Below are 8,994 nucleotides of genomic sequence, written 5' to 3' on the forward strand. Positions count from 1 at the left end.
TACTTTGTAGGCTCTAAGGAGGATTAAATGAGTCAATATGAAGTCCTTCAAACAGCATCTGTCACAAAGTAAGCATTCAACAAATGTTAGCTGTTGTCAATATTATTCTACTATATACAAATGCTCAGTTAGGATTTGTCAATTAATGAATGAGTCCTGTGCCACCACTTTCATCCACAAGAACAAGTGCCCCCATGCCCCAGGTGTTCCAAACCAAGGAGGGATAGAGGCTGGAGGGGGCGGCAGTGGGTGTTAAGCAGATATGTTAGGATAAGTAACTAGCTTGCCTGTCACATGGCACTTGCATCCTAGGCTGTTCCAAAAAAGAACAGCAGGAGATCTGTGTCTTGGTTTGCATCACTCCCAGCAAAAAAGATTTGGATGAGAAGAAACCGTCCTCAGAAGGACTGATTTTTTCAGATGGATTTACCTGGTGTCAGTTCACACCTTCTCAAAGTCTGACATTCCTTCTCTTGGGTTGATCCTGTAGGGCTCCCTCACACTTTTCACTCTCTCTTTTCAATTCTGAAGCAGCATTGCGATTTGCCACTGCTGTACCGTTTTCATTCCAACGGCCCGTAGGGTCCTATTCCCAGCATGGCCCTACCGCTTGCTAAATGACAAAAGATCAAAGCTTTCATAAAGCCACAATGAGAAGGAAAGGGAGATCAGGTTATCTGGGCCATTCACCATCCACATACCCAGGCCTGTGTGCACTCATTCGTGTACACACACACACACACACACACACACACACACCCCTCTGCCAGATTATAAATTGCAAAACCAAACAAGCCATAAACTCTTATGAGGGACAAGAGGGAAAAGCCATGCCGAGAAGATAACAACAACAATGTCAAATTTCAGACATGACCAGATTTTGAGGGGAGAGGTGAGGGGGGGTGGTTCCAAACCAAGGGTTTGGGATAGAAAAGCTGACAGCCCCTTAGAACTAAAGCAGCTCGACTGGGTGCCACTATAATAAATCAAAATCAGTTATGTAAAGTGTAAAATTATCATTTGGAAATCACTCTCTCTCTGAATAATTCAATCATTGACTTTCACATCAAACAACCATTTCAACCACCCACACACACAGTTCAGCCTCACACTGGTCTTAAACTCTCTTTAATTATCAGCATTAACCTATCACATTACTATTTCATTCCTATTTCATCCTGGGGGAGGGGTCAGTGATTATGATAAATCACAATGAACAAGAAAGACTTTGAGCTGTCCTTCCACACGGCTCTGGAGTTCCCTTGATCTGACGGTGACAGGTCTGCCTTTGTCCCAGGAAGGGACAAGGACAGATAAGCAGCCTCCCTCTTGACAAATGCATTACGGATGCCAGTCAGGAGAAAAAGGCCAAAAATGCTTTAGAACCCAGCTCTGCAGCCATGCGTGGCTGTCTCCCATGCTTACACCTCAGGCTGGGCAGGGGTATCAACTTGCCTCTCTGGTCGGTGGGTGGAACATGGAAAACCAGGTAAACAAGTTTCACCTGCAGCCTGGTTCTCATAATACCCCCACGGGCAACCGTTACCCTAAAATAAGAATAAAAAACAACAATTTTTTAAAGACATGCATTTGTCTAAAGTTAATCACTTACCCCCTGGAAGAACAAATTAGCCACAGATGGTGAGTTGCCTATTATATTTTTTAGTGGGGGCTCTGGCCCTTGCCTTAGTGATCCCCAAGAAAGCGGGAGTGCACAAGAATGGACATAAAGTGAAATATTTCACTTAGGAAAAAAGGGGTTTCCTCTGTTACTGGTATGGAGTCCAGTTTCCTAGTTCTGCATATTTAGGGGTGTCCCCACATACCTCTCCCTCCCCCTTACCTATCAGAGCTTCCAGTTTCCATATATTTAATAGTGAAGGGCAATCTAACGAAAGGGTAAGAATGTTTTTGTAAAGATGTTCATTGCAACACGTTCAGAGGGAAAGAAGAAAACATCTTCAGTGTCAACCTTGGTGCATAGGTTAAATAAATTGTGCCACATCCATTCAGTGGACTGCCTTTCAACCGTTGAAGATCATGTTGTACATGTGTATTTATAAGCAATAGAAAGCTGTTCATAATAGACTATTAAGAGAAAAAAAGTGAATCATGTGAGACCATATAAACATGTTTGATTCTGTTTTTTTTAATATGTAAGAAGGAGAACAAATTAAGTTAGGCTATGTTCGAAATTCTAATCATGGTTACATCTGTGTACTGTTATTATTAAAGGTGATGCTTACTTCTCATGCTCTACTTTTATTTCTATTCCTGTTTTCTAATTACTCTAAAAAAGAGCAAATGAATAGAGTGGTTCAGACGACTTCTTGGATCAAATCTACTTCTGCCACTTAGGGATATGACCTCAGGCACATTATTTAACATGACAGCCCCTCAGTTTCTTTATCTGTAAAATGGAGAGATAATGATCTGAACTTCAGGATTACTGTGAGGATCAATTGAGTTAATTTCGTAGAGTGCTTAGAAATGTGGCTGGCGCATAGTAAACACTATGCAAGTGTGAGCTATGATTATTAAGATCATCACATATTTCTTGCATAATTGAAAACTAAAAACCTGGGGCCACAGGCCAGCTGTTGAATCTTAGGCACATCCACATCTCTTGGCATGAGTGTCCTCAATAGTAAAATGAGCAAATTAGATAGATGACCTTAAAGGCCCGTCCCCATTCTGTGATGACATAATTCAACAGGGATGCTTCTATTGGGCCCTGAATGTAGCACAGAGGTGAAAGGGAACACTACATAGCAGGCTTACAGAGGGGGCTGGTGGGAAGAGAACGAGATGGGGCCTGTGGGATAGATCAGAGCCCCGCAAGCTTTGTGGAGTGCGGGGGAAGGAAGACTGCAAGAAAGCCAGCCAAGGCGGCTGCCTCTCCACTCAACTATGTGATTAAGTGACTGGCTTCTGTTTTTCACAAAGCCAGTCTCCAGCTCAAAGAACCTCAGGGACTATTTTAAAGACAAGTTATTCCTTTGTTTTTAATTGTAATTAAGTAGGTATTTTATAATATTTAAATGGTGCAATTTACATGTCACTTCCATGATGCGCTGGGTACCCTTCACCAGAAGGAGAGAACGTAAGTTTAAGAGGACTGCTGTGTATTATTTTGTGACTAGGGAAGTGCATTTATGCAATTGTGAGTAGAACGGAGATACTGGGATATTTCAAGACTTCATTAAACATGCCAGAACTTTAACAAATTTACTTGGAGCCAGTTTATTCATGTTAAGATTTCATTCATCCTTCTTCCCATACTTTGACAAAATGTTTAAGTTAGTTTCTCATTTTATTTGTCTACTGAGTTCCCTAAGTTAGGGAAATTAGTATTGTGTGTGCGGTTTGATTTAATTAGCAATTGGGGAAATCGGCCTGGCATGTTTCATGGAAGCTTGGGGAAATTGTCAATTAGCATTGTGTTAATTGGTGTCTGCCATCCTTGCTTTTTAGTTTTTAACCCCTTTTACCTTGTTCCCTCTTTCAGCATGTAAAATCTGGCTGTTTATTATTCTTTAAATAAAGGATTAATTGCCTGAATTCCTGCCTCTGCTCCGTGTCCTTTTTCTCCCTGAGCAGATGGGGAGTTGGGCAAGCCCGTGGTGGCGGCCTTGTTTCTTTCAGGCCCTCGTCCTCGCTGGCATAGGAGGAAGTGCTCTCTCCCACACTGCCCCACGCCCAGGCTTAAGCCTCCTCACTGCCATTTTCAATGCCCGGTGGAGCCTCCCTGTCCACAATCCCCGAAGACCCCACCTGGCTCTCAGGAGACACCCACTGTTCATTCTTCTGGAGTCTGTGGCTGATGTTTCAGATTTGAGCCACTCCCTTCGTCTGACCCAATCAGCACCCTCCTCAAGTGAAGCTGAGGGAATCTTTCCAAAACAGGGAAGGAAGTGTATTTTTATGGAGTGCCTCCTGAGAACCAGGATCTTTTAATCTCACAACATCTCCCAAAAGGTAAGTTTACAGTAAAGAAGCTGGAATTCAATCCCACTTGTGGGATTCAAAATAAGACTTTTTCCATCATGTTTCACATTGTATTTCTAGATCCTTGTGGTCCATGTGGTCCCAGTAGTGTGAGTTTCGCTGGGAACTTGATAGAAATGCAGAATCCCAGGTCCCAATTCAATCTACTAAATCAACATTTGCATTTAAGACTCCCCAGGTGATTCACATCACATCATATTAAATGTGCGAAACACTGGCCTACCACATGGCTTGGCCTCTGTTACGCTAGAGTTGCGATTAAATGCTAAAGTGCTTGTTGTACTCCAGTATCTGTTGTCTTCTCTGTCCACAGTCGTAGAGGTTTTAACAGGGAACTTAGCTGTCCAGTCCAGGAAAACATTTCCCAGACTCCCTTGCAGCTAGATTGTGAGCATGTGACCAAGTTCTGGCCAATCATCTGGCCAAACAAATGTAAGTGGAAGTTTCAAATGGCAACTCCCAGGACAGCTCCTTAACAGAGAGCTAGCACTCTACTCATCCCCATCTCTACCCATCCTCTGGACAGGATGGCTTGAGCTCCACTCCATGTTGGACCATGAGGATGAGGGTTATACTTTCAGGATGGCAGAGTAGAAATGTAGAACACTGGGGCCCTGGGAATTGATGGGGCAGAGTCCCCCGACTTATGCAGTATTCCCTTCTCCAGACTCTAAACTTATTTTTTAATCTTTTTAATTTGTATATATTTAGGGGATATAAGAGCAGATTTTTTCCATGCATATATTGCATAGTCCTGATGTCTAGGCTTTTTGTGTATCCATCACCTGAATAGTAAACATTGTACTCAATAGGTAATTTTTCAGCCTCAACACCATCTCACCTTTTGTAGCCTCCACTAAACTTTATTTAAGCTGCTTTTTTTTGAAGTGGAGGAAGAAACCTGTCATGAATGGACAAACCAACTCCTGACTAATACAGAAGCGAAAGCCCACCTTGTCTACATAACACATAGTGCTTCCCAAATTAAAGAAGAGGTAAGGCAAGGAAATCACCTTTGTGTACCAAACAAGGACCACTGAGCAGAAGTTTCTTAAAGATGAGTTTCAGCTGAATAAACTGCTTGCCAATGATTAGAACTGTCCAGCTATGATGAACGGGCTACCCCATTGAGATAGCAAACTTCGTGTCACCAGAACTGTTCAAGCAGAGACTTCCCCAAATGCTGCAGAGGAAATTCCTGTCCTGGGTGGAATATTGATCCCTTTAACCACTAACCTCTTTTCTCCAAAGAATTGTAAAACAAAACAAAACAAAACAAAACAAAAACAAAAATACTTATTCAGAGAACAATGGATTTTAAATATTGAATGTGCCTTAGTCATTGAACCAAATTAGGAACTTCTCTCCTAGTTTCCACGTCTGCTCGTTTATCACAAGAACCCTGTGCCATTTATTTATTCATTGCCTCTCAGACCCACACAGTCCCTTCTATGCTGTCCTCTTTGTTGCTGGGGCTGGGAGTCTACACTTCACAGACTCTCCAGCAACTCCTGGTTAGACTCTGCCAAAGGGAGGCAGTAGTGAGAGATCAGAGATGACAGAGCAAAGCTTCCTACTTTTTTTTCTCGGACATCAGAGGCTGCTCTGGCACTGACTGGTAGTTGCCATAGTGGCAGTGGGATAGAGTAATTCCCAATTCCAGCCACCCAGGGCTCAGCAGCAGCACCTCCTTGGCAGTTCCAGCAGCATAGTTGTGGGCTCAGGTGCAGGCTCTAATCCAGGGAGATTAGCAGTTTCCTAATCTCTGGATATCACCTATTCTTCCTTCTGCTCCTTCACATCTATTCACCATCTCCATTTTGCTCCTCCAGCCCTTCCTACACCTTTGTAACCAATTCCTGCATTAAATCTCCTCTTCGTAAAATATCTCAGACAGTTCCTGTTTTGCTGGCTGGACCCTGAAGGATGCAATCACCAGCACTCAAGGGTCTCTCTTCTCCCCTGAGGCCATCCTCAGTGCATGCCAGAAGGGAACATACATAAAATGAGCACCTGGCAGCAGCAGCGCCCATTGCCAGCCTCTCCTGCCCTGCCAGAACCCCCAGCTAAGCTGCCGCCTATCAGACATGGGCAAGACCGGAGTGCTGTAGAGTCTTCAAGTTAACACTGAACAATCACAGCTGATGAGGCCGCACTCTGAGGCAGATCTATGGCTTCAATTTCTCACCAGTATTTTAGCTCCCCAGGCTGGCTGTCATGTAGCGGGTCTCATTGAGAGGACGTTAAGGGATCCATTTTTCAGGAGTTGGCCTACACTAGCAGAACTCCATTTCCACGTAATATTTATGAACAAAAACCCTCAAACATGCTCCCACAGCCCAGTCCCCTAGCAGACTTAACTACTAGACAGCACCCATTTATAAACTAGCAAATGAAATCCTTCTCTTGGATAAGAAGAGCAGGAAAATTCTCTGCTGCAGATTTCCTTCAAGAGCTCCCCTGGGAGAGAGACAGATTCTGGAGAGGATGTCTCTGCCAACCCTGCCCTCTCCAGCTCAGGTTCCAGGATAAGTTCTGGGGTCCATTAGTGGGTTGGAGGGGTAAAGGTCAGGGGTGAGGAAGGAGGCATCAGAACACCAAGATAAGGAGGCTTGTAGATTTTCTATTCAACTTGCTATCTCTTATTCTAGAAAATACATTATCGACAATTGCAACCACCATACCCTCAAATCACTCCGTTGGATTGTCAACTCAGTGACTTCAAGAGACTTAAACCTTTGTGGGCATAATACATTTTGATACATTTTATACATTATCCTGTAGACATAAAAACTTATACAAGCCTATGGGACCTAAAACAGAATCCCGAGTTCAATCTTGACACAACCTCAGGATCTGAAGGGAAAGGGAGGCAGGTCCCTTGTATGGCCTTTGTAAAACCAACTGAGCTGCTTCAGAGAAGTTTAGGGGACACTCAGTAGGGATAGTGATTGTCAGTGGTGAGGCAAGGTCATGAATATTTAAAATATACTTACCATTTGTAGATGCAGCTTAGAATACACCTCAACAGTGCTGGGGGAAGATCAGTGTGTATTTGTACAAGTCCCTCTTGGTGCCAGGGTCAGCTTCAGGGGGTTCTAGGTCCTGGCTCAGCCCATTGGGAGAGCAAGTAACTGCCCACACTCAGGTCTCTAAACACCCCCCAGGTGTTGTGAGGTGAGGACAGAGTGGGGTCTTGGTGAGAGCCAGGAACTCTGGAGTCTCCTGGGGAGTCCTGACCCATACCTAGTTGCCACTGCTTCATTCCCATGCAGCTTTCCCATCACTAAGGCTTTTATTCCTGGAAAACTATTTTGCCCTATCAAAAACAATCCTTAGGAACCAAGATCAGAGTTGAATCAAATTTACTAATTGTATATTTCCTTTCTACGTAATACCCCCACCCATCTCCCCTTCTCTTCTCCCTGAATCCTAGTCCTGAGAGTTTCCACAGAGTTCCCAGTAGCCCCAGCAAAGAGTGAGAGAGGCACAAAACAGGGAAACAAGACACAAAGCATATCTACTCACTCCTCCAGACCCATGCACGATCACCTGCCAGGCCCCGGGGACCTGTCCTCCCAGCATGAGGCATCCCTCAAGGACCAGGTCTACAAAGGACATCTCCCAAGCTTTCCAGACACCAGCCAGCCCCTTTGTGCAAGAGGAAAGAACTATCTCGTGGGGAATTCTCATCAGCTGTTTCCCCTCTGCCTGAACCGAGAACAAAAGAAGGGTAAACTAGACCTACAGCTGTGAGGACAGTCATTTTGATCAGGGACTGACAGTCAAGGGCTGCTTTAATCTTGGCAGGAGGACAGAAGGTGGGCTTATTTTTTGTAACTGGTTTTAGCTCTAGAATTCTAACAAACGTAATCGCAAACTTTATGACTTACCCAAGTCTGGCACTACATCCATTCAATCCTCTATTTCCTGGGTTTACAACCCACCCAGGAAACCTGCATCTCAGATAAAACTTGGGCTCCAAATATTTGTTGGAGACAAAGCCTGTTTTTTTTAAATAAATGACCATTTACAGTTTGACAATGCAAACCAAGAGAGCACATATATGATGGCTTTCTGGGAGACTTGGGGCAGATGAGCCTGGACACTGAGGTAAATGCCCATTTGAGAATTGTTCTGGCCTTGGGCAGCAGGGGATTTCAGGCTAGCAATGAAGACATTTGAAAAAGAATAAGGTGATGATAATAATAATAGAAATATTCATGACCAATAACATATTTGCGAACCACATATTATTTTAGATGTCATTTAAAACTTGTTTACTCTTTTATTCTTAAAACTTATTTCCACCTGGATGGGCTACAGGCACATTCCGCATGCTCAAATGCATCCATCTTCTCCGCCTACCTCCCTCTACTCTGGCTCTGTTAAAGACATCAACACTCTTTCAAACGATGGAGCACAAAGCCTGAGAACAGCTGATTCACCAGATTGACACACCTTGCTTTCAAGTTCTGTGGCTCATTCCTTTGTAACACTTCACATCAAATTTTCTCTCTCCAACCTATCACCAGCATCCAAGGTAGGCCCTTGAGACATCTGTCCTGGACAACTGTAATAGCTCCTAACTGGCCTTTTCCTGTGGTCGCACCAGCTCTCAACCCATGGCTGGATGAACAGCCACAGAACTCCCCTGTTTGCCATTGCCAGTAGCCTCAGTGTTCTCATCCTTAGAAGTCTCTTTCATCTTGGTCCTAAGGACAAAATGGTGCCTCTTTATGCCACCTATTAATGCCTTCATACCAGCACAGAATCCTTTATTCACAATTCCAAAACAGAAAGAGCTCAGAAGGTGAAAAAACTGGGGGGAATTATTTGATGATAAAACTTGTCATGAGGCTATTTATAATGTTTATTTTCCTCACTTAGAATTTTCATTCATATCACTACAAAAATATTATTATCTTTGACTATGGAACACTTCTTCAGACCCCACTGGGGGTGTTATGAATTATATTTGATATG

At 43.6% G+C, this 8,994-nt stretch overlaps 1 annotated feature.

Moving 5' to 3' along the window:
• Positions 301 to 4,257: an enhancer, noted in NCBI's record as "VISTA enhancer hs1535". NCBI's record gives its function as "enhancer in: hindbrain (rhombencephalon)[4/5]" and the evidence as "EXISTENCE:transgenic organism evidence [ECO:0001131][PMID:17130149]".

Source organism: Homo sapiens, chromosome 2 (genome assembly GCF_000001405.40).
Source record: "Homo sapiens chromosome 2, GRCh38.p14 Primary Assembly".
Lineage (NCBI taxonomy): Eukaryota > Metazoa > Chordata > Mammalia > Primates > Hominidae > Homo > Homo sapiens.